Below are 26,955 nucleotides of genomic sequence, written 5' to 3'. Positions count from 1 at the left end.
CATAAAGTCTGTGTGGAACAGATGTCAGAGTGGAATTTTCAGACTTAATGGAGAGGATCTAAGTAAGCTCTGGATTTTGAAATGAGTGAATCTATGGAGCTGTGATCTCCTACAAATCAAATGGGGAATGTCTGTGGATGTGTAAGAGCTGAGAAAGAAGAACAATATGTAGATCCTGCCAAAACTCCTTTGAACCCTGAAAAATACTCTCCTGGAAGAAAATATTTCAGAAGAAAACCGATCAAAAAAACTGGAGGTGACAAAGAGTCAGTTGGGGCAAACAATGAAAATGAAGGCAAGAAGAAGAGCAGCAGTCAGCCTTCAAAAGAACAGCCAGCTCCTTTATCCAGGGGACTGGTACAGCAGGAATCTGTTACCCTAAACTCTGCACTGGGAGATGGTATTCAGCAAAAGAAGACAGAAGTTGTAGCTGACAGCGTTAAACAGAAACTTCTGCCGAGTGCTGTAAGCAGTTGGTCTGACTGTGTGAACACTTCTCCTGCTAAAGACAGTGAAACAGAAGTAAAAGTTAGTGAACTGGATGAAAGGATTTCAGAAAAAGACAGCACTCCATATTGCGCAAAGAGGAAGAAACATTTAGATGATGTCAACACAAGCGAAATAACATTCCAGGAAAAAACTGATGTTTTTTCTTTCCGAAAGGCAGCCAGCTTAAGCTCTATTCCCTCGGGTATAGAAAGATCACTCGAAAAAAGTGGGTTTCCTGAAGACCCACCAAAAAGTTATAGCAGTATTCAAGAAAAGCAAAACACTGAGAGATTTTGCCCTCATGCAACACAGCATTTTCAGTTTAAAAAAAAGAGATGCCATTCCCTTTATACTAGTATGTCCTCTGTTTCTAAGGACACAGATGGAAATGAGGTAAGTGAAATGTGGAGTCTGAGTTCAAGTAAATAAGTGTTCCAGGTGCTCACATCAGACTGACATCTAATTTGTCTTTTATAAAGTTATTTTCATATTAGTGTATGTAAAAGCCATAGAGTTTCTGTTGCGTTTTGTTAGTAGCCTCAGGTTTGATTGTTATGATTTTATTTTTGTGCTGTGCACATTCTTTGACCACACTTTAATCTAAAAATCCTGTACATTTTCATTATTGGTGGAAGACTTTAAAAAGCACTACAGTAAGAGAGTGCATATCTTTTGAATTTTTCTGGTTCATGATTCTTGACTTTGCCTGTGGAATAGCCTGTGGAAGCTTAGTTGGACTGTAGGTAAAAGTTCAATTAGAAATAGTCATGAGAAGACAATAGCTTTGTAACAAATAATAGGATACTGTAAAATTATCAGTCAATACCGACTTGCTGATTCATGAGTTTGAAAAGCCAGATTCTGGTTCTCTGTTGATTTTCATGTGCAGAAACATTCACATAATTGCTGTCAATTCTGTGCATATGTTTTGAGGGCTAGGGTACATCTTTTCCTTTATGTTATTCCCCAGCCCCAGTCTAAAATCAGAAATTGTTAGGGTAGCATGCCATAGGAATTTGAAAATGACACAGACTACTAGGAAGTTGAGATCTTTATTCCTAACACTGATATTTAGCTTTAGACAAGTTACTTATCTGGGGTTTTTACTTGTCTTTAAAATATAATTAGATAGGTATTTATTTAATTGCTCAAAAAATGTATTATCCACATAACCTCTACATGTTACTACTCAGGAGTTGATGGCTTTTTCTTTAAGCTATTCCTAACTTTATCTTTTAATAAAAAATCTGAACATAAAGAATATTTGTGATGTTAAACATTCTTGGCAAGGTCATTGTATCAATGAGCAGAGATCATTTGCATAATGATAGAATGAGGTTTTATGAGGGTTAGTGTGCGCCATCATCACTGACCTTGGTTTCTGAGTTCTCCTGAAGGTGTCCTGTTTATATACACCGCTACACCTTGCCAATATTATGCCATCAGTTCTGTTTATATTTTACAGTGGTTATATTTTAAAAAGAAAGCATTCAGTCTGTGTCATTATCTATGTAGCTCTGTCATAAAGCCTAGTGCAAAAGAAAACTACTTGACTACTATATGTTTATGAATATAAGCACTTGGTTTAATTTCACATATGTTTTCCAGCATAATTTGGCTTCAAGTAAGCTGTACATTTTTGCATTAATGGAAATTTTTATAATCTGTTTCCTTAGTGGTACATTAGCCTTTCCTTCAATGGAAAATATATGTGGAAATAAGTCATAAACTGACCAGTCAGATTTGCGAAATAACTGTAATGCAATGTATATAAAGCCTGACGTCTTCTAGGTTAAAGCTGAATGGGTAGTCATTATATTATCTGAAGGGTTTGACATCTCATGTCCCTGTAGTTCAGATAAAGACTATTTATTTATTCTGTGGCACACAAAGAGTCCAAATCAAGAGTTTAGCTATTCCTCTTAGGACATTCTTCCTGTTACCTTGGAGGTGTTTGACTCTGTTTCTTAATTATCTTTGGTTGGAAACTTCCACAGAACTCTTTATCTTGCATTGGATTCTACATTTTTCATTGGAGAATTAGTTGCAAATGAGAGCTTCCAGCCGCTTCATTGGCATTTCATCCCGGAAATGACTGATTAACCAACATTCCTTTTGTTTGTTCTTTTTCATAGCTTCCCTATGTGATCAGTTTTTGCTCTGAGTTGCATGTAGGGTTGGACTTAACTTTTGAGTTAACTTCTAAGTAGAATAGTGTACAATTTTTTGAGCTTATCTTAACCTGACTTGATCTCCCCTAGTCCTGTGACATTCATCATTCTCAGCCTACTTCCCTTTTGAGTCGTTGCAATGACATGCTGACCTAGAGTGGTCTTCCTGGTTCAGGGGGCTCTGTGGAGGCCATTCATCCAGCCCTTCCTGCTGCATATAAATGTTATCAACATGTTATATTTTTATTAGGATAAGTAGGTAAAAAAGGAGTATATTAGATTTGTATACTGCTTTGGAATTGGAATAATGGTTTCAGACACATCGCGTCATTTGATCATCCAAACAACTCTATGAAATAGGCAAAATAGACTATGCCTCATATACAGAATGAAAAAATGGAAACTCAGGTTAAATAAATCCTTAAGGCAACATGGTAAATAAGATTACCTGAGTTAAATTATGGCACGACATCCCACTTGTTTTACTTGTCAATGAAATTTAAGGGAGATTGCTAAAAAGTTAGAGCAGGAATTGATGTTAATAGTGTCATCTGTGAAGGATATGTTATAAACAGGTGGCAGAAGGTAGATCCTTTTGGGAGACAAGGAGTAATGAACTTAGTGTTTGTACCTTTTTCAAGGATCTTCTGTTTGTCGAAGACTCACCTTGTACCTTGTGACAAGGTTTCCTACCTTTGTCCTTGAGCTCTTTCCAGAAAACATTCTTTTTTCTTTAGTTTCACAAATCCCACCTCTTCCCAGTTTTGTTAAGTTGATATTGGCAAAGATAGTTGTTTTCATCATCTGTAGACTGTGGGTTCTCTAACCTGGCCATATACATGTAAGAGTCATCTGAAGATATTTCAAAACAGATAGATGCCTGGATGTCACCTACAGTTATTCTAATGTAATAGATAAGGGTGGGTGCTCTGTAGGTGATTCTAAGGGTCAGGACGTTGGATAGGGAGCTTTTTACTATTCTTATTCTGCAGCAGTACTTCTCAAAGCCTGGCCCCAGGGTCCCTGCAGGAGAATCCTCTAGATTGCTTATTGAAAAACACCTTGCTTGAGATTTAATTTAATCAGAATATCTTCTGTCATGAGACAGTATTGTATATGTTTTAGGCACCTGCTCGTGTGTTTTTAAAAACACACCAGATTTAGAGAATCAGCATCACCTTAGCTTAGTATTTGCCATTTCATTTTCTTCTTAATGTAGGTTTTCTGATAAGCAATGTGGACTACGGGCCTGGCAGGCAGAAGATCGAAGTTCTTCTAGTCAGGCTTTGCCACCAGACAGCTGCATGACTTAGGCAGTCTTCTTTATTTCTCTAGGTCTCAGTTTCATTTTCTATAAAAGGAGGATACTGTACTAGATCATGATTCTACTGCTAATAATAATGCTATTTGTTGAGTCCTGCTATATTCCAAGCACTCCCCAACTACATTTATCTTCAGAGCAAGTCTCTGAAGTGTTCTGTTATGAGCTCCATCTTTATAGATGAGGAAACTGAGTCTCAGGAAAGTTAAGTAGCTTACTCAACTCACTTAACAATGAGTGGTACAGCTTTGATCTAACCCAAAATTGTCTGCCAGGCTGAACTGTTACCTGAGGCAATTTACCCTCCTTTTCCTACATACCTCTTTTCCAGTTTTAAATTTCTGTGAATTCATGTGCATAAGTGTATGCCTTTTTGTTTGTCCAGTGTTATTACTCCTCTCTCTTTCCCTCTCTTCCTTTATTTCTTTATGAAACATTTATTATGTATTGAACCCAAACTAGGCACTCAGAGATAAGTAAAACGTAGCTCTTTTCCTTGTGCATTATATCTCATTGTTTGTTCATAACAAATGACAGGGACCATGGCTGTAAAGTTAGTCACCTGAGAATTAGTCACCTGGGGTGATGATCAGGAATAAGTTTAACTTCTCAGCAAACCATGTGGTGACTCTATTAAGTAATGAAAATTGAACTGCATTTCTGTTCCTTTCCATCCTTTGGTGAATTGCTAATGAATAGTGCAGTGGCCTAAAGTAAAGAAGCCGAAGAGAGAAGGTTAAGAAATGAGTGTGGCTGTTGTACACAATATATTGTCAGTCTCTGAATAATGAAGAATTGAATATTTTTATTACCTTGGCTTTTGTATTTAAAAAACTTTGAAAAAAAATTAAGAGCTATCTCAGAATGTGAGAGGAATTACATTCAACCTACCTGAAATATATTTATTCATTATTTTTTTCTCTCACCAACTCTTTTATGAAGCTTAGACTATAAAATTTATGATTGGAATTCAAGGACCAGGATAAAATCTGAATGTGTTTAGCCTTGCTCCACAGATCTTGAAGACGAAGGTCATTCATTCTATAATTGACTAACTCATTTCTTGCTGAACCATTTTATCTCTTTCTTTAAAAATGAACATTCATATTGATTTCTCTTGACTATTTCTAGTCATTTAGATTTCATAACCAGTTTGTGAAAATATAGTTTTAGAATAATTGTATAGAATTTGGGTCCCTATCATCATGATGCCTTTCTCTGCCTTTTAAGTTAAATGAAGGACATGCACAGTTTAAATCCTTGGCTTTACAAAAAAAGGTAGCCTTTCCCCTCTGTTTGTATAAGTAAATGATAATTTGTTCAAAGTAGTTATCAATTTAGAGCATTAGCACTTGGACTTTATCAGCTTTTTAATTACTTTTGTTCTCCATTTCACCCTTCCCTTATATAGGCAGTTTGTACCAGTTAAAATTTTAAAAATGTTTGTGCTGTCTTTACAGTTAAAAATATTTTGTGAAGCATTTTCACACTTTTTTTTTTTTTTAACTTGGAAGCAGAGCTAAAAATGTGTTGATTACATTTGTTTCTGCCAAAATAGTTTAAACATTTTTAAAGAAATTGTCCTTGGAAACAAACATCTTGGCTTGGAAATATTTGCCTGTGTTGACAAATTCAATATGGAATTTGCTTTTGCTTGACTGTAGTGTCAAGTGATGTGAATAAAAGAGTTTTAGAAATATAATACCCTCTTACACGCCTCCATTCACTGTGGGGCAGGCACCGTTCTCAGCCATGTGTGTGTACCTCTTAGTCTCTCACACTAAGAAGGTTCTATTATTATACTCATTTTACAAAAGAAGAAACTGAGGCCCAGAGAAGTCACAGGGCTAGAAAATAGTGGGAACAGGAACTGAATTCCAGTTGCTGCCATCCACAGCTTTGCACCAATCTTCCTACCGATGTTAAGGTTTTACTCTTGCAATAATGAAACTCATCAGGTAGGAGAAGAATCCTGAGCATGACCTTTTTGACTTGCTGCTTTCATTCTTACTAATACCTACACTGTCTCGAATAGAATATAATCCTTATTTTTATCTTAATAGAAACATATAAAGGGATTGAATTTTCATTTGTTAACGTTTTTGTATGTAAACCTCTGAATCAATAGGGATTTGTGTTCTGCACAGAAGAACATTTGACTATCATTTCTACATCCACTGTGTGTCCCACAAGTCAGTTTCTGCTTCTGTAGAAGGAGGTGGTCCATGGATAGGTATAGCTCCCTCAGCAGTGTTACGGGGAGTCACTTAGCTTGGCAGAGTAGGGGAGGAGAACTTACAAGATGTTGAGTCAGAAGGCTTACATTCAATGCAGGTCTTATTATTCCCATCCTTAAAATTGGGGTGGTTTCTTGTTTTGAGGATTAAACGAGGTCACGTATGTGAAAAAGACTTAGGAGACTGTAAAGTGCTTTATAACTTATATCCTTTTGTCTTCTGTTTCTGGAGAAAAGAGGAAATACTTTGTGATCATCCTTTAAGTAGAAAGAATTCTGTAAGTTTTCAAAACTTTTAACGGGACACTTCTTTCTCTCCTTTAGACACAGAGCATTCTGTATAACCAGAGCAGGCTGCCACCTTCCCTCCCGCTGTGATCCCACCTTCATTCATCCTCTCATTTCTTTAGCAAATATTTACTAAGTATCTATTATGTGTCATACAGTGTGCTGACTGTATTCTTCAAATTCCATAGTTAGCTTAAAACTTTGTTAGCCTTCTTAGATAAGGTAGCATGAAACTAAAACAAAAATAAAAAACAAAACAACAACAATGAAAACCCTGTCAATTTGTTGGAATAGAAATACCTTGGAAGGAACCATTTAAAAAAATATTTAAGATTCAGTGGGTACATGTGCAGGTTTGCTACATGGGTATATTGCATGATCCTGAGGTTAGAGCTTCCAATGATCCTGTCATGTAATACTTGATAGGTAGTTTTTCAACCCTTCTCCCACTCTTATGATCCCCACTTTTGGAATACCCAGTGTTTATTGTTCCGTCTCTGTATCTGTGTGTACTCAATGTTTAGCTGTCACTGATAAGTCAGAAAATGTGGTTTTTGGTATTCTGTTCCTGTGTTAATTCACTTAGTGTAATGGCTTCCAGCTGCATCCGTGTTTTTGCAAAGGACATGATTTTGCTTTTTCATTTTATGGCTGTGTAGTATTCTAAGGTATGGCTGTATGTAGCACATTTTCTTTATCCAGTCCATTGTTGACAGACACCTAGGTTGATTCCCATGTCTTTGCTATTGTGACTAGTGCTGTGATAAACATACGAGTGCAGATGTCTTTTTAGAAGAATGATTTATTTTCATTTGGTTATATACCCAGTAATGGGACTACTGGGTTGAATGATAGTTCTGCTTTTAGTCCTTTGAGAAATCTCCAAACTGCATTCCACAGGGGCTGAACTATTTGCATTTCCACTAACAGTGTATAAGCATCCCTTTTTCTCTGCAACCGCACCAACCTGTGTTACTTTTTTGAATTTTTTTTAATTTTGATTTTTATTTTTTTTGAGACAGAGTCTCACTCTGTTGCCCAGGCTAGAATTCAGTGGCGTGATCTCTGCTCTTCAAGTGATTCTCCTGCCTCAGCCTCACGAGTAGCTGGGATTACAGACATCCACCACCACGCCTGGCTAATTTTTGTGTTTTTAGTAGAGACGAGGTTTCACCGTGTTGGCCAGGCTGTTCTCCAGCCCCTGACCTCAGGTGATCCACCTGCCTTGCCCTCCCTAAGTGCTGGGATTACAGGCATAAGCCACCCAGCCTTGACTTTTTAATAATGACCATTCTGACTGGTGTGAGATGGTATCTCATTGTGGTTCTGATTTACATCTCTTTAATGATCGGTGATATTGAGCATTTTTTCATATGTTTGTTGGCCGCTTGTATGACTTCTTTTGCGAAGTATCAACATCATTAAAAAGCAGGCAATGGACATGAACAGAAGTGTCATGTGTTTTTTCCTTGTTGATTTGTTTAAGGTCCTTATAGATTCTGGGTATTAGTTCTTTTTCAGATGCATAGTCTGCAAATATTTATTCCAGGTTAAAAGTAGGTTGTCTGTTTACTCTGTTGATAGTTTCTTTGGCTGTGCAGAAGCTCTTTAGTTTACTTAGGTCTGGAACCAATTTTTGAAGCTCATTTTGGTTATTTACACTTCACTAGTACAGATACATTTCAAAAGCGTTATTGAGAGTAACTCTGATATGAGAGAGGAAGAGAACATAATGCCAGAGGCAAATCTGCTCTTCTGTGTGGGGTGGGGGGGTGGGTGGGGGCTGTTGGTTAAGGAGGTACAACTGGTCTCGTGAGGAAAATTTTTATGGACCCTGACATCCAGTTCATGTGAGAGATCCAGGACGGTATCTTCCTCTGAAAATGTGTAGTGTTCTGTGCATCAGCTCCTTTGCCAGTATAGAAGCCGAGAAGCTCCAGTGAAAAGGGTCTGCCTTTAGGAGTGAGGCAAAGCCAAGGGATTCCCTTTCATGACCTATCTATGTGCAGCCATTTTCCTGGCAGTAGGTGCACTGAGAGGAAGCTGGATTACTGTGGCTGCTGAAACAGAAGAAAAATTAGTCTGACTTGTAAGGATAGATTTCTTTTCTAAACATGAAGGAGAAATGCCATTCTCTTGTAAATTCTGTACCAGAATGTAGGAGACCTGGGCCCATACCCTAGGTCTCCTGCTAGCATGCTGTGAGACCCTACGCAAATGACGTCACCTCTTTTAGTCTAAGCTTGTTCAGTAGTGAGAGGAGGGCATCCGCCAAATATCTCTGCTTTCCTTCAGTTTGAATCCCCATGATTTCTTAATCTTCATTATATAACTTTCTTTAAGTTAAATATCTCTGTTTTCTTAACTTCAGAGATGTTGCTTTTTCTACTATTGACATAAATTATTTAGATTATTTGATAACACTTTAAATTATACAGTTATTTAAAAATGTTTAAAAATAAAAATTGCATTATTTTCTTTGTATGGAATAATAAAATACATACTTTTTAAAAAAGTGAATAAGCTTTCAGGGAATATCTAAGTCAACTTTGGAGTTGGCAGTTCCTGTGTACTCAGTGCATGCCATAACCATGACAGCATCTGTAAAAATAGGGTGCTTCTGTTGCCCAGTTGTCTGGTGGCATTGACTTTGCTCATAGGACTTTCATGTTTACAGATTCAGCTGACTAACATGGGTGAGGCTGTTGCAATTCATTTAGCAGTAAGTGGGTCATTTAGTAATAAGCTGTGAATGAAATCAGTGTGCTATAAGATGAGATAGGTTGGCTTGTTTTCTTTTATTGAAAAGACATTTTGAAGCTATATACGATGTAAAGTTCATGAAATTTTTTTAGATAAGTGATTCAGATGAAGCTTAGCTTTCTTGCTTGACACTAGGTTCTCATTGAGTGGTCTCGAGGCTTGTGTTCCCCATTGGACACTTTTGTGCATTGGTAAGGGCGTTCTGTTATTATCGGAAAGTGAGGTTAATTGGAAACCTTTTGATTTTCTGAAATGACAAAGTTTACATGGCAGGGTTAAAACTCATTCATACAAAATGAAAGCAGGAGACGTGTGTTTCTGATCTTTCATACTTTTTCTGTCTTTAATACTTCCTTTGTTGCTGCTCTCTTGAGTCTCCTGCTCTCCATTTATTCAGTAGAGAGTTATTGAGCACCTGATACGTGCCATGTCACGTTGAGCATGGGGAGAATGTTCCAAGGGTAGAAGTAGCTTGAACAAACTACCGTAGGAGAGAGGAAACATATGGTTCATATAACTTGATATTAATGTGATTTGATCATAGGAGAGAAGAGGAGAATTGCTTGAATCTGGATTACCGCACTGGCACAGTAAAGAACACACCATTTTGGGAATGAGAGTACAATAATATTTGGTACAGCAAGACTAGTTAGGAGGCTGTTACTAATCCAGACACGGAGGCTTAGTTCCAGAAGAAGGTAGAAGCCCAATATTATTCGAGGTGTATCACGAATGTGTTTCAAAACATGTTGTTGGTATTGACATTCCAGACTAGTGGTAACAATCTAGACTAGAGATAATAGTTGCCTTGACTCAAGTTGATAGTGGGAAGAGAGAAAATGGGGATATAAGACCCCCTTCTTCCTACAGAAATCAATCTTAGAACAGTTAATATATCCATATTATTAGGTGTGTGAATAAATTGCCATTAAAAGTAATGGCAAGAACTGCAAATACTTTTGTACTAACTTAATATCTTCCTTAGGGGCATGAGAAACTAACAGTTGAGTGTTTTGTAGAATGAGCCAACAAACATAAGGCAGATTCAGAAGAGTTGGGTTAACTCATCCTTTTATCATTTGAGAGTTCCAGCACTGGTTGCTTTGGTTCCCAGACTGCAGAGCAACATATTCTGCTTGGTCTCTCATATTTATTATGTCCTTTTCAGCTGTTTTTTGAGACTGTGGCTCACATTGCCTGACCATGCTCCATGAGGCACTTGGTCAGACTTGCACAGTGAAACAAAACTTACGTTGTTTTACATCTCTGACTGACCATGAGCAGGCATATGTCTGGTGACAGCACTGTTGGAACTATGTGAAATGGGGTCAAGCCTTCTTCTTTGGTTTGAACTTTGCCTGTCCAAATTCCCTCCTTGCAGATTCTCAACCGCAATCCTCTGCACCTTCTTTTAGTTCCAGTTATTGGTGTTTCAGTCATTGACTGTTGTCTCAGCTCTCTCCAGAGGGAGAAGGGAAAACATGGGGTAAAGTATCAGTGTTGTGTGTAAGAGTAGAGGTAATGACGGAAAAAGAAAAGCAGATGTAAGAAAGAGTGTGAGGGTTTTTTGGTTGTTGGTAGTGATGTTTTTTAGGCTGAGCTTAGTTTTCAATATTTTTATGTCAGTTTTTGAGCTTACTTATGTGAAGTGAAAAGGTAAAATAAGCCAGGTACGGTGCCTCATGCCTGTAATCCCAGCATTCTGGGAGGCCGAGGTGGGAGGATTGCTTGAGCCTGGGGGATCAACACTGCAGTGAGCCATGATGGTGCCATTGCACTCCAGTCTGGGTGGCACAGCAAGACTCTGTCTCAAAAACAAACATACGAAGAAGTAAAATAAAAGTGACGACTTTCTGATTGCCAAGGTCCAGAATGAGTTCACTTGGATTTATGACATAAGATGTTTTATGTAGGCATGTTGACCTCCCCGTTACACTCTCTTTGAACTTGTAGGACAAACACTAGGTTTTGGTTATTTTTACATAGTGCCAAAATAGGTTTTTTGAAAAATGTTGTCAGACATGTGTTTTGTATTTTGTAAATAATAAGCAAACAAAACCCATTTGGCTTAGTGACATTTTCATAGGTGGATTGGTTGGGGGCTGCATGTCCACTGTAGGTAATAAAGCCTCTTCTCCCCAGTGGGACCTTGAAATATATGATAAAGCAGAAGTGACCAAGAGAATCCTGGTCTCCTTAATGAATTAATGCAGATTTTCAAGGTGTCCAACTCAATCATAAAGTCATTTGTCCATTGGATATTTACTGAGTATCTGTAATGTGCCAAGCACTGCCCTAGCTAGGCATTATAACACTAAGGCAAATAAGACATTATCTTTCAGGATATACTGCTCACATATTAGAGGGCTAGAAGATCTAACAAGAGACAATAATGACACACAAGAGGTACTGCTATTATACCAGTATGAGTGGAGTACTTTCAAAAGCACAGAAGATGGTCAGGTCCCTTACACAGACCCCTGAGGCAGAATCAGCTGGGGCTTCCTCAAGGAGAAGGATGAGTGGAGGAGTAGCACGGGATGGGAATTGGTGAGGGCTTTCTCTGGGTAGAGAGTGGTACATATAAATGCATAGTATCTTGTGGAAATGCATTCTTATTGAGGAAGTAGAAGTAGTTCACTGTGGCTGGAGCACAAGGAGTGTTTGGGGTGGGTGTCAGAGGGCAGGGAGGAGAGATGAGGCTGCAGAGGACTGTGTTACCAATTGGATGTGGGCACAGAGGTTGAAAACGCATCAAGGATGACTCCAGCAGCTTCTTTTATTTGGGGGCAACTGGGTAAATGGTGGGGCCATTCTCTGAGCTAGGAATGCAGGAGGAAATACAGGAAGGAAAATGAGAAATTAAGTTCTCAATACATTGAGTTTGAAGGGGCTGTGAGATATAGCGCAGTGGTTAAGAGTATCAGCTTTGTAGCCAGACAGATTCAAGTTCAAATTTGACTTCTACCTATTAGTAATTTGGGTGAACTTGAGCAGGTCATATTATTACTTTATGTCTCTTTGTCATTTGTAAAATGATATTGTATATTGTAAAGATTATAAGGTAATTTTTATGAAGAGCTTAAGCACAGTGTCTGGCTCATTTAAGTGGTCAATACATGGTTAGTTTTACTATTGCAATAGAAGTGTATGATAGGGAGATGGGTTTAGGGATAAGGTTTGGGATGGGATATAGGGATGTGGGAGTCAACCCTGTCAAGGTGGCAGTTAAAGCCATTGTGGTAGAGATGATCCAGGGAGAGTGAGGAGAGTGGAGGAAAGAGGCCTGAGGCCTATGCCCTGGGGAATAATGTTAAAGGTTGGGTAACAGAGGAGCCTCTAATGAAGACTGAGAAGGAATGGCTAGAGAGGCCGGAGGAAAGCCTGGAAGGGGTGACGTTGTGGAAGCCAAAGAAGAAAGATTGCCAGTGACAGATGCCTCAGTGAGATCAGGATTAGAAAATGGAAGGATGGGAAAACAACCCTTGAGCTCTTCTCCATGGTGTTTCTGTCATTAGACTGTAAGCTCCATGAGGATGGTTGTATAACCAATGCCTGTTAATGGTACAAGTGGACATTTATGAGTGTTTGCTGAATGAGTGAGACTGTGAAGGAAGAGGTGATAGATGATCTCTCACAATATCTTTCAACTCATCAGCATCCCCCTACCCATCACTTCTATTATGTTAACAATCTAATTTTCTTCTTTATTGGAAAAATAGAGTTATGAACAAGAATTCCCTCACTTTGTCTGGTCACCTTTACTTAGTTTTAGTGGAATGGTAAGAAAGAGGCCAAATCAAAACAGGTAGAGGTGTGAAGATAATAGAGACAAGAAAATACAGAATACTTTTTTAGGTAGCTTTCCTAAGAAGAGAATGGGAGAGAGATGGTGTTAAGTAAAGAGGGAATTGAGTTCATGAAGATTATTTTTATTTATTTTAGGATGGAAGAGATTTGGATATTTTAAATACTGAGAGACCCACGTGAGAGGGAATTATTGGTAGAATGAGATCGCTAGGAAGTTGGAGGTGAAAGGATTTAAACTCCAAGAGAAAAGGAGGTCATATGGGAGCAAAGTTTGTGGGTAGCAGGACAGAAGGGGGTTCTTACTTATGTAGCTATTTTCTCAATAAAGGAGGAGAGGAAATTTGTTTGCTAAACATAAAAACATAAAAGTAGATGTGGTAGGGTAGGTAGTTTTAGACAAGTAGTGAAGAATTTTTATTTTTGGAGATGGAGTTTTACTTTCACCAGGCTGGAGTGTAGTGGCATAGTCATGGCTCACTGCAACCTTGACCTCCTGGGCCCAGGTGATCCTCCCACCTCAGGGGCCCGAGGAAGCTTGGACCGCAGGCACGTGGCACTGTACCCAGCTAATTTTTTTTTTTTTTTTTTTTTTAATGAGACATAGTCTTCCTATGTTGCCCAGGCTGGTCTTGAACTCCTGGGCTCAAGTGATCCTCTTGCCTTGGCCTCCCAAAGTGTTGGGATTACAGGTGTGAGCCACCACACCCAGCCAAATAGTAAATAACTAAAAGCAATATTGTGAGGGGTGAAAGAGCTGGCCAGTTAGGACACCAAGAAGAATTGCCACATTTCTTTGAGTACCTAGCTGAGGTTGCAGACCTGGAATTTGTGGTGGCAGGAGTCCACATGGTGGTATGCTTTTCTCTGGTAGACATTTATAGCTTAGGGTGAAAGCAGAGAAGACGTGCAGCTGGATTGATCAGGATTAAGGTTTGGTGGTGGAGTGGTTGCAGAGTAAGGACAAAGATGTGAAGGACTTACGGATATTAGCAAGGAAGTGGTGGAAATGATAAATAATATAGTACAAGACAAACAGAGAAGGATGTAAAGATAGAAGGGGCATCTGTAGAGGAAGAAAAATAATTTTCTTCAACCCTCGTAAGTTAGCTGGAATGGATGCCTACAACAAAAGACAGATTGATAAGAGAAAGACAGTTTATTAACATGTATGTTTCATACATACATGGGAGAGCCCAGGGAATGAGCAGTTCTCAGAGGCAGCTTTGAATTCCATTTTATATAGTGTCTTCAACAAAGGGCAGTACATTTTTAGAGAAATGACAAGAGAAAAGAAAAAAACTTTGAGTCTCTGGCGGCAGCAATTTGTGGGAAGGGAAAGAAATGGCAGACAAAGGCCCGTTAGTAAAGCTTGTTCATGTAGATAATTTTGGTCCCATCTCCAGGCCCATAACAGTCTAAAGTTATCTTTATTGGTTAATGTTTTTCTCTCTGGTAGAGGGGGACAGGATACCTTTTGTCTTTGTAAATCTGTGTCCTGCTTTTAGGCAAATGGAGAGTAGAGAGCTTTCCTGCATCTGCTGCTACTTAATTGCCTTTAGCTCAACAAGCTTTTATTTTGACATGGCATCTTCTGGTCTCCCACAGCCCACCCTGTCCCCCAAGTATATATGAAATATACATATTATAATAATAAACTACTCTTCGTTTTTCTCTAGTTAATCTATCTTTTGTTACAGGGATCTGTTCCAATTAAGAATTTATGAGAGTTGAAGAAAAAATTATGTTTCTTCCTCTACCGTTCATAGATAGGAAGAAAATTGGGCATGTCAAGGAATGTGAGATGTTGATGAAGCCAGATAATTGGTTTAGCTAGAATTAGCAAAGGAAAGTGCTGGAAGAATAGGAAACTACTTTTAGAAGTTAAATACCTGAGGTAGACTAGTTCTGGTTCAAGATGATGAGATCCAGGATGTAGGTGTATGACTGGCTGAAATGAAGAAACAAAGCACTGATGGTGGGTGCTACGTGGAGATGGCATTTGGGTGTCCAGGCACACGGCCAGGTGCCACATCTTTGAGGGATGCGAGCATCGTGTTTAAGGAGAGGAAGGAGGAGAGCCAGAGAGCAAGACTGGCCTACAATGTAAAAATGATTTTTTTTGTACTTACAGGTAATGATTTGAAAACCACTGGTTTTGCATCACTGGAGGAGTTAGAATTCACCTGCCCCGCCTGTGGGCCTAGTGGAGTCTGGGACTTGGCTGAATTTTAGTTATTGCCATGGGGGATACTTGGGGTTCAGTAAAAAGATAAAAGCAGTTTAAGGTATTGAAGACATGAGACTTTGTTTACCATGGGGTAGATATTTTTGGAAGTTTGGGAATGGTAGCAAGCTGGGTCAGGAGAGATAAAGCCCAGATCAAATATGGGCAGGAGAGGCTCAGTGACAGGAAGAACTTGAATTTGGGCAGTAGCCAGCAATGACCAGGATGTGAGGCATGAAGGCTTCAAGTTTCTGAAAGGAACTCTGGTATAAAGTATTTTGTTTGTTTTGGTGCTACCTGACAGATTGGTGAAAAGCTTTAGGAAGCAATACTACTGCAGATAATAAAATTATGGTGGGGCTAGGTGCTGTGGTTCATGCCTATAATCCCAGCACTTTGGGAGGCCAATGTGGGAGGATCACTTGAAGCCAGCAGTTCGTGGACAACAAAAAGAGACCCCTGTCTCACAGAAAATTTAAAAGAATTAGCCAGACATAGTGGCACATGGTGGTGGTCCTAGCTGTTTGGGAGGCTGAGGTGGGAGGATCAGTTGAGCCCAGGAGTTTGAGGCTGCAGTGAGCTATGATCTTGCCACTGCACTTCAGCCTAGCAACAGAGTGAGACCCCATCTCAGATAGATGGATAGATAGATGGATGGATGGTACATAAGTAGTGGTGGGAGAAAATGGATAGATAGATAAGTAGTGGTGGGAGAAGCTAACATTTGTAGAATTTTCTATGTGGCGGCGCTGTGATAAGCACTTGATATGACTGTTTTTATTTAATCTTTAGAACCACCAAAGGAGGATGTTATTATATTTAAGTTTTTTTAAATTGACAAATAAAAATTACATATATTTATCATGTACAACATCTTATGAAATTCAAGTAATTAACATATACATTACTTCAGTACTTACATTTTTCAGGTGAAAACACTTAAAATCTACTCTTTTAGAAATTTTAAAGAATGCAGTACATCGTTACTAACTATAGTCACTATGTTGTGTAAGAGAAATTTATTCCTCTTAACTGAAATTTTGCATCCTTTGACCGATATCGCCCCAATCACTTCCACCCCAACCACCCCGCAGCCTCTGGTAACCACCGTTCTACTCTCCCCACTTCTATGAGTTCAACTTTTTTAGATTCTACATATAAGTGAGATCATTCAATATTTGTCTTTATGTGCCTGATTTATTTTGCTTAACATTCCCTCCAGTTTCATCCATGTTGTTGTTAATAACTACATTTCCTCCTTTTTTTTTTTTTTAAGGCTGATCAGTACTGTATTGTTTGTATATATCACATTTTTAAAATTCATTCTTCAGTTGATGGACACCTAGATTGATTCCTTACCTTGGCCATTGTGAATAATGCTGCATTATACATGGGAGTGTATATCTTTGACATACAGATTTCCCTTGGATATATATCCAAGTAATAATCCCAGTAATGGGATTGCTGGATTATATGGTAGTTCTATTTTTAATTTTTTGGGCACCTCTATACTGTTTTCCATAATGGTTTTACTAACTTACATTCCCACCAACAGTGCAAAAGTTCCCTATTCTCCACATTCTTAACAAAACTTGCTATCAGCTGGGTGCAGTGGCTCACGCCTGTAATCCCAGCACTTTGGGCAGCTGAGGCAGGTAGATCACCTGAGGTCAGGAGTTCAAGACCAGCCTGGCCAATATGGCAAAACCCCGTCTTTACTAAAAATACAAAAAATTACCCAGGTGTGGTGGTGGGCACCTGTAGTGCCAGTTACTCGGGAGGCTAAGGCAGGAGAATTGCTTGAACCCAGGAGGTGGAGATTGCAGTGAGCTGAGATTGCCCCACTGCACTCCAGCCTGGGCGACAGAGCGAGACTCCATCTCAAACAAACAAACAAAAACCACTTGTTATCTTTCCTTTTTTTTGAGACTAGCCATTCTAACAGGTGTGAGGTGATACCTCATTGTGGTTTTAATTTGCATTTCTTCGCTGCTTAGTGATATTGATCATTTTTTCATATACCTGTTGGCCATTTGTATGCCTTGTTTTGAGAAATGTCTATTATGATATCCTTTCTTTATTTTAAATTGAATTATTTGTTTATTTATTTATTTATTGAGATGGAGCATTGCTCTCTCACCAGGCTGGAGTGCAGTGGTGCAATCTCAGCTCACTGCAACCTCCGCCTCCTGGGTTCAAGTGGTTCCCCTACCTCAGCCTCCCGAGTAGCTGGGATTACAGGCACGTGCCACCATGCCCAGCTAATGTTTTGTATTTTAGTAGAGATGGGGTTTCACCATGTTGGCCAGAATGGTCTCGATCTCCTGACCTCATGATCTGCCTGCCTTGGCCTACCAAAGTGCTAGGATTACAGGCGTGAGCCACCACATCCGGCCAAGTTTTTTGTTTTCTTATTACCGAGTTGTTTTAGTTCCTTATATATTTTGGATATTAACTCGTTATAAGATGAATGGTTTGCACATATTTTCTCCCATTCTGTAATGTGTTTCTTTGTTTATTGTTTCTTTGGCTGTGCAGAAGCTTTTTCATTTGCTGTAATCTCATTTTTCTGTCTTTGCTTTTCTTACTTGTGCTTTTGGAGTCATATCCAAAAAATCATTGCCCAGTCCAAAGTCAAGAAACTTTTCCTTACATTTTCTTTAGTAGCTTTATAATATTAGGTCTTACGTGTAAGTCTTTAATCCAGTTTGAGTTGATTTTTGTATATGGTGTGAGATAAGGGTCTAATATCATTCTTCTTTATGTGGATATCCAGTTTTTCAGACATCATTTATTGAAGAGACTGTTCTTTCTCCATTGTGTGTTATTGGCATCTTTGTCAAATATCAATTGACCATAAATGCATGGTTTATTTCTGGGCTCTCTGTTGTTCCACTGGTCTGTCTGTTTTCGTGTCAGTACCATGCTGTTTTTATTACTATAGATTTGTAGTATATTTTGAAGTCAGGTGGAGTGTGACGCTTCCAGGTTTGTTCATTTTGCTCAAGATTGCTTTGACTATTTGGGGTCTTTTGTGGTTCCATTCAAATTGAAGGATTGTTTCTTCTATTTCTGTGCGAAGTGTCATGAGAATTTTGATAGGGATTGCATTGAATCTGTAGATTGCTTTGGCTAGTATGGACATTTTAACAGTGTTAATTCTTCAAATTCATGAATGAACATGGGATATCTATCCATTTATTCATGACTAATTTCTTTCATCAGTGTTTTCAGTATAAAGGTCTTTTATCTCCTTGGTTAAATTTATTACTAAGTCTTTTTTTTAAGCTATTGTTAATGGGATTGCTTTCTTGATTTCTGTTTTGGATAGGTTGTTGTTATTATGTAAGTTTTAAAGATGAAGAAAGTGAGGCCAGGTGCGGTGGCTCACGCCTGTAATCCCAGCAGTTTGGGAGGCCGAAGCGGGTGAATCACCCGAGGTCAGGAGTTCAAGACCAGCCTGGCCAACATGGTGAAACCCTGTCTCCACTAAAAATACAGAAATTGCCAGATATGTTAGCACATGCCTGTAGTCCCAGCTACTTGGGAGGCTGAGGCAGGAGAATCACTTGAACCCGGGAGGTGGAGGTTGCAGTGAGCCGAGATGGTGCCACTGCACTCCATGCTGAGCGACAGAGTGAGACTCCGTCTTAAAAAAAAAAAAAGAAAGAAAATGGATTTTAGGAGATTATGTGAGTAGTCTGGGTCATTCATTTCATTAACTGTTGGAATTAAGATTTAAACTGAGGCAGCATGAATTGAAACCCTCTCTGATTATCACTACATTGCCTCCGGGTTTTGAAGGGAGGTAGCTTGATTACTTTCTAGAATCTGACCTGAATGTGAAACCATTAACCTGTCATTGGTGGAAGATTCAGGCTGTTCTGCTGAACACACAGATTTCAGATCAGGGATTATGAATGACAACTGAAGACTTAAACAATTTTTAGCATTTAACTTATTTTTTATTTTAATTTTGGTTGCATAGTATCATGAAAAGTCTGATATACTAGTGGCTAATGGTAACAGTATTTTAAAAAATACCTTAAATTGCTATAAGAGGATGATGTTCAGTTTATTGGAAGTAGCAGGAAAAGCTGAAAATGGAGGAGTTAGAATTCACCTGCCCTGCTTGTGGGCCTAGTGGAGTCTGGAACTTGGCTTAATCTTTGATATTTTAAAGCTTGGTTCATAACATTTGCATATGCATTGTAAAATTATATGAATATACCTTGGAATATGCATTTTAAAATTATCGCTTTTTAATAGTGTGTGTATGTATAACAGTCTGAAATTGTATTTGTAACAATCTGAAATTCATCTATTGGAAACTTATTTAACAAGAATACATTATTTTCTCTTGACATTTAGGCTATTTTCAGACCTCTAAACTCCTTTAACATCCTTCCTCTGGTAAAACTGTGTAGCACTTGAACCTGTTAAGCTGGTATCTTGTAGTTGAACTTTACTGACTTCCCTAGTTAACAGGTAATGCTTTTGTAACTGACTGGCATGGAATTAGCAGAAAACAGTCCCACACAACCCCAGCTATCTACCATTTCTATCTGTCATTATACATACTATCTAGGTGGCTCTTGAATTGTAAGGGTTCCCCAAAACAGTTGATTTTATAATTTTTAAAGGGTTATAGAGACCAAGAGGCTCAACTTTTTCTTTTCTTTTATTTCTTTTTTTGTTTTGTTTTGTTTTGTTTTGTTTTTGATTTTAAGGGCCTCACTCTGTTGTCCAGGCTGGAGCGCAGTGGCGTGATCATGGCTCACTACAGCCTCAACCTCCTAGACTCAGGCGATCTGCCTCGGCTAGTAGCTGGGACTATATGGGCACATGCTATTATGCCAGGCTAATTTTTTTTTTAATAGAGACAGGGTCTCACTATGTTGCCCAGCCTGGTCTTGAACACCTAGGCTCAAGTGATCCTCTCATTTTGGCCTCCCAATGTGCTGGGATTACAAGCGTGAGCCACCGTGCCTGGCCTCAACTTTTTCATTCACAGTTTCCTAGATTAGCTTCTCTGAACCGTTGCGATCGTAGATTTTCATTAGTTTAAGGCAGCAAATTTAAAAAACTTATTCTTTTATTCCTCTCTATGGGGAAGAGAGTTAAGAAAATAATAAAGTCAAGGTTTTACTTCTCCCTTTTTCAGAAAGAATAACAATAACTACAACAATAACATAGCTCATCTGTATTATGCATTTGCGGACTATGGGCCAGGCATTACACTGTGCTAATGTTGTTGAATTCTCACAACATGGTATAATTATCATCATCATTTTACAAGTAAGGGAATGGGCTTAAAGCAGTTAAGTAACTTGAGCATGTAAATGGTGGACATGGGACTTAAACTCTTGGGATGTGCCAGAAAGGTACTGTAGCATAATTTTGGACCAGAATATCATTGGAACTTGGGCCAAAGAATATTGGTAAATTTTATGCTGTTTTTTGTCACATAAAAAAAAAAGAAATTTCTTCTATGTGTACTATATGATGTGTTCATGTGCAGAGTTCTTTTCCATGCTCTGGAGTTTGGCACAGATTCCTGGCAAAGATTATTAAAATTGAGACAGTTTGTTCCGCTTTTAAATCCTGACCATTTGTCAAGCAGAGTGTCTCAGACTATGGCTGAGAGTGAAGCTCCATGGGGCATGGCAGCCTCTGCTGAACACTGGAGAAGGAGTGTGTGAGGCCCCCCATCATTTCCAACAAGTGAAGTCAGGGGCTGCGAGGCCTGGCAAGGGCTTTCACTGCCACAGCCTTCCTGCCCCGGGTCCCTGGATTGGCTGTGCCTCTGGCTCTGTGGCAGCTGGGAGGAATAAAGGGCTTCCTGTCTGAGCCTGGCACTACCACATGTAACAGGTTTTCTTTGGAGTTTTTTTTTAATTCTCTACTTTCAGTTGCTTGACTCTGCCTATTGTGACCTTCTGTGTTGTGTTTATAGTCTGTTAGTAAAACTTTAGACTGAAAAGGGTCCTAAACGTTATCTGCTTCTGCCTCCTCCTCATTTTATAGATAAGGAAGTTGACTTACAAACATGAAATGAATTATTCAAACCTATGAGACTAGGAACCAGGTCTAGAAGCCTGTCTCATGACTCTGGTCAAGTGATATTTTCCCTGTGACAGAATGATTTGTTCTTCATATGCCTTGCTTCCCATCTCTGACTTGCTCATTCTGATTCTGGCGTGCAGCCTGTCTTGTTGATCCCTTGGCTTTGCGTCTTGCACTGATTGAGGGAACAGTTGTTGGTGGTGTTAATCTCAGCTTTGGAATTACTGTGTGACCCCTGGTAAAGTCACTTTGTGCCTTAATATAATTATCAGCAGATTAAGTAGGACCCTTATCAAAGAGATGCTTTTGGGAGAATGTAAATCATGGAAACTTGTGACTTGTTTTATCATTATTCAGTGGAAGAGACTTTTAGAAAACTTCATGAAAACAAAATACAGGAGAAAAAAATCAGTTGATAAAGGTTTCAGGTTGAGCAAGCCAAGCAAGGACTCATGAGAAAATTAGAACTTCTGGCCAAATTGTTATATAGGAGAGAATACTATTTCTTTCATTGTTCTTTACACAGAATACCTGTTGGATCAAATTCTGCTCTGCAGGTGGTAGTATAGAGTAATTTATAGGTTTTACCTCTGATCTACTTGAACTTGGAAAACACCTCCTTAAGTTGTATTAACAAATCTGATTAGGAAAGAAGAACGTAGAATTTTCAATACTGTAGAGTTTTGGTTTAGTAAAAAGAGAATAAATGCTTTTAAATTGGACACAAATGAGTTAAATCTGACTTTTTCAATCTGTTGTTAACCTCTTTGAAACTCAGATTTCCTATATGTAAAATGGATAAAATTTATTTATTTCCTATATGTAAAATGGGGAAAATTTATAAGGGAGAGGTATGAGGGCTAAATAAAAATAATTATATAGAATAGCTAATGGTTTGATAACTTTCTACATGTGGCACATTCTCTTAAGTGCTGTACACATGTTATCTCATTCAAATCTCTTAACAATCTCATGAAGCGGGAATTGTTATTATCCTAATCTTAGATTTTGGAAAGTGCTTGGCACATAGTAGGTTCTTAATCTGAGTTAGCTTCCTTCCTTCCTAAAGGTTTAACACTTTCTGTTATATCTAGATATCTGATATCCATGTTACTGGAGAGTCAGAGGATATGTCTGCAAAAGAGAGATTGCTACTCTGGACGCAGCAGGCAACAGAGGGTTATGCTGGAATTCGGTGTGAAAATTTCACTACCTGCTGGAGAGATGGAAAATTATTTAATGCCATCATTCATAAATACAGGTATGGAATTTGTGTATTTTTTCCTTATACAACTGTAAGACACATTTCTTTCATCTCTGAATTTTAAAATTATCTTTTATTATTATAGAAGCAAAAGCATGGCAAAAAATTAGAAAATACAGAAAAATTAAAATAAAAAATTGGCCAGGTGCAGTGGCCCATGCCTGTAATCCCAGGACTTAGGGAAGCCAAAGTGGGTAGATTGCTTGAGCCTGGGAGTTCGAGAACAGCCTTGGCAAAAGGGTAAAACCCTCTCTCTACAAAAAAATACAAAAAATTAGCTTGGCATGGTGGCAAGCACCTGTATTTCCAGCTACTCCGGAGGCCAAGGCTGCGGTGAGCTGTGATCATGTGACTGCACTGCAGCCTGAGTCACAGGGTGAGACTCTGGCTTAAGAAAATAAAAAAAAAAATTTAAAAATCACATTTCCACTACTTAGAGGCCATGATTCTGAATTGTAGCTTATACACACACACACACACACACACACACACACACACACACACGCACGGGCGCTCGCACACACAGCTGTAATATGTCTTCGGATGTTGTCAGTAACTTCGCAGATAGCAGACTTTGATTTTGCCTCTAAAGAACTGCTGAGTTTGAAGGTTAGAGTTTAGTTTGGACTTGTAGCCCACAAGTTTCCAGTTCATATCTCCTAGTCTAATTACTCTAGTGAGTGGGCTTAACAATTGCCAGTTTTGGGGTGGTAAATAGTTTCCTGGTGAGCATTATTAACAGCTAAATCCACGCTAATACTTACATAGCACTTACTAAGTGCCAGACACTGTTCTAAGCAGTTTACATATATTAATTCATTTTCTCCTCACAACATCCCTATTGTCATCCCAGTAAACAGACAGAAACTGAGACCCAGTAAATACTTGGCTTGCAGTCATACAGCCAGCGAGTGGCAGACTTGGAACTCAAACCTAGGCAATCTGGCTCTTGAGTTCATGTTCTTATTGCCTTATAAGAAGCTAAATCCCCGGAAAGTATTTATTGAAAATTATATACTACTTTTTCTTTTTTTTTTTTTTTGAGATGAAGTCTTGCACTATCACCCAGGCTAGAGTGCAGTGGCATGATCTCAGCTCACTGCAGCCTCCACCTCCCAGGTTCAAGCGATTCTCCTGCCTCAGCCTCCTGAGAAGCTGGGACTACAGGCATATGCCACCACACCCGGCTAATTTTTGTATTTTTAGTAGAGATGGGGTTTCACCATTTTGGCCAGGCTGGTCTTGAACTCCTGACCTCAGGTGATCCCCTCACCTTGGCCTCCCAAAGTGCTAGGATTACAGGCTGAAAACTATATATTTCTTTACCTCAGTTTTTTTTTTTTTTTTTTTGGTTTTACAAATATTATGTCAGGTTGTTGAATAACTTGCTATATTTCTAAAGCTATGACATCATTAAATTATAAACTATATATAAACTATAAAGTCATTAAACTAACCAATTTATTTGATTACAATAAAAATAATTATATAGGATAGTTAATGGTTTGATTACTTTCTCGTTCTCTTAAATGCTATACTCGTGTTCTCTCATTCAAATCTCCTGACAATCTCATAAAGCAGGAATTGTTATTATCCAGCTTTTACAGATAAGGAACCTTAGGTTTACCAAGTTTATACTGCTAATAAGTTAGAGAATTAAGACTCAAAACCAGCTCTGTTTGATTTGACATCCCGTTCTCTTCCTCTCTTTCCTCTTTCTTCCTTCCTTTCACTTCTCTTTTCTCTCCCCTTTTCTTTCTCCCTTTTTATTTTGGAAATTTCAATGTCTAAAAACTGTAATGAATCCTCCACATACACACACTCAGGAGCCCCTATTTTTATTTTATTTAATTAATTAATTAATTTTTTGAGACGGAATTTTGTTCTTGTTGCCCCGGCTAGAGTGCAATGGCATGATCTCAGCTCACTGCAACCTCTGCCTCCCAGGTTCAAGTGATTCTCCTGCCTCAGCCTCTCAAGTAGCTGGGATTACAGGTGCCTGCCACCACTCCCGGCTAATTTTTTTAAATTTTTTAAAATTTTTTTTTATTTATTTTTAGTAGAGACAGGATTTCACCATGTCAGCCAGGCTGGTCTTGAACTCCTTACCTCAGGTGATCCGCCTACCTCAGCCTCCCAGTGTGCTAGGATTACAGGCATGAGCCACCGTGCTTGGCTGCGTGAGCCACCATGCCTGGCCCCTATTTTAAAATACTATAATTGTATCCTTCCTTTGTGGAACAACATTTAAATAGAGGTGGGTGTAGGTTGCTGAATCGAAAAGAAAAACCAGGATCAACTTGCCTACACTTGTTTAAAGCACCAGATCTTCTTGAGTGAAGGTTTAGTGGCTGTAGACACAGCCATCATCATATTACACTTTCCAGGTGACTTAGAATGAGAGGCCATGAGAAGGCTGTGCAGCTGGACACATTCTATACTTGGAATGATAGAATCTTTGTGGCCTTTAATTAAAATATTTCAATTGTGATACCTAAAGTATTTGTAACAGTGCATCTTTGAGGGTGTGTTCTGCTCTCTCCTTTGAAGTTTTTTAGGCAGAAGCAAAATATGGGATCCAGCTATTCTTCTAAAATAACCTACTTTTGGCAGGGAGGATGAGGCCGGAGGATTGCTTGAGGCCAGGAATTTGAGACCAACCTAGACAATATAGCAAGACCCCATCTCTAAAAAAATAAAATAGATTAGAAAAACCCCTACTTTTAAAAACAATGGCCTCTGGACATTGTCTCTGTGGTACTCATGAATAATTATAAGTACAAATTGGTGTATGTGTGTGTGTGTGTGTATATATATATATATATAATGCATTTTTCTCCTAAGTACTTAAATATTTCATTTTGTGTGTCAGAGATCCTAAAATTTCCTACAAAAGCTTGATGTCATAGAGCTCTTACTGCTTTAGGTGAGAATTTGAGTCTTTGAATTATTTGTTTTGAACTTTTATTTTGGCAGAAATACCTTTTTAGAACAATGTTTAGCTTTAACTTAGGACTTTGGTTTTCCTAGTTTGCTTTATTTTCCTTTGTTAAGGTTCGTGGTTAAAATACCATATATCAGGTTTAAATGCTTACAAGATTTCTTTGTTGCTGAAATTCTGTCGTTGTCCTGTGGCTTATAAAATATTATTGTGGTTTCTTTCACTAGAAGAAACTTTTCATCTGTAGAACTTCGTTTTTAGTTGAAGTCATTGAGCCTTTCTTTACTTGAAAAGAAAATTAAGTACTTTTCTTCCAGCATATGAAAAAATTAAATGAAGAGAGTTGAATTGTGTGTATTTCTCACTGTTGAATGCCTTGATTTATTCTAAAAGAAAAAAGAGACAAAATTATAAACAATCAAAATATCACCATGAGCAAATTTTTTGGTATTGGACAATAATAATCACATTTAGAGAGTAATGTCTTGGCTGGGTGCCCTGGCTCACGCCTATAATCCCAGCACTTTGGGAAGCTGAGGCAGGAGGATTGCTGGAGCTCAGGAGTTGGAGACCAGCCTGGGCAGCACACCAAGACCCCATCTCTACAAAAAATTTAAAAATTAGCCAGGCATGGTGGCATACACCTGTAGAGATTTTAGAATTAGAATTTAGAATTTTCTTTGGAGTTTTTTTTTTTAATTCTCTACTTTCAGTTGCTTGACTCTGCCTATTGTGACCTCTGACTTCTGTGTTGTATTTGTAGTCTGTTAGTACAGCTTTAGACTAAAAAGGGTCCTAAACGTTACCTGCTTCTGCCTCCACCTCATTTTCTTCTTGGGAGTCTGAGGTGGGTGGATAGCTTGAGTCCAGGAGGTCGAGGCTGCAGTGAGTTGTGACTGTGTCACTGCACCCCAGGGTAGGTGACAGAGCAAGACCCTGTCTCAAAAAAAAAAAAAAAAGAGTAGTTTTTTACTTAATAATTGTTTTTACTTGATAATTATTCCCATAAGTTTTGTGCTGTATTTGGATTTGTTGTGGAAAATGTCCATTTTATTGGGCTTTATTTTTTGTATCTAGATCAAACATTTATATGGATTTTACTTGGCTTTGTCAATAAAAATTATCTGAGGTGGCACAGTGGGTTTGGTTTCTGTTGGTTGCTGTAGTGGATGAAAAGAGGGATGTGGTTATCCCTATGTAGCAAATTTGCATACTCAAGATAGAATAGGAAATTTTTCTCCAGAGATTAGAAGGAAAATATATTTTTTACTTAAAAGCAAACCAGTATTATATGTGATAGGTGACTTAGTAAGATTTTTGGTGCATATCTTCTAAAGATTTAGAAATATTGATCTGAAATAGGAACAGAGCAATAGCATCCT

At 38.5% G+C, this 26,955-nt stretch overlaps 1 protein-coding gene across 9 annotated transcripts in view; it reads left to right on the top strand.

The window, feature by feature from the left end:
* DST (dystonin) overlaps window positions 1–26,955 on the top strand; it is a 496,835-nt gene that overhangs the window by 261,561 nt on the left and 208,319 nt on the right. For all 9 annotated transcript variants that reach the window (NM_001144769.5, NM_001374722.1, NM_001374736.1 and 6 more), the window contains one exon: window positions 22,463–22,629. In NM_001144769.5, the coding sequence (NP_001138241.1) occupies window positions 22,463–22,629 (167 nt within the window). The remainder of the gene's footprint in view (window positions 1–22,462; window positions 22,630–26,955) is intronic.

This window comes from Homo sapiens, chromosome 6 (assembly GCF_000001405.40).
Source record: "Homo sapiens chromosome 6, GRCh38.p14 Primary Assembly".
Lineage (NCBI taxonomy): Eukaryota > Metazoa > Chordata > Mammalia > Primates > Hominidae > Homo > Homo sapiens.
The sequence above is the reverse complement of the archived record's forward strand: the minus strand, read 5'-3'. Positions and strand labels throughout refer to the sequence as shown.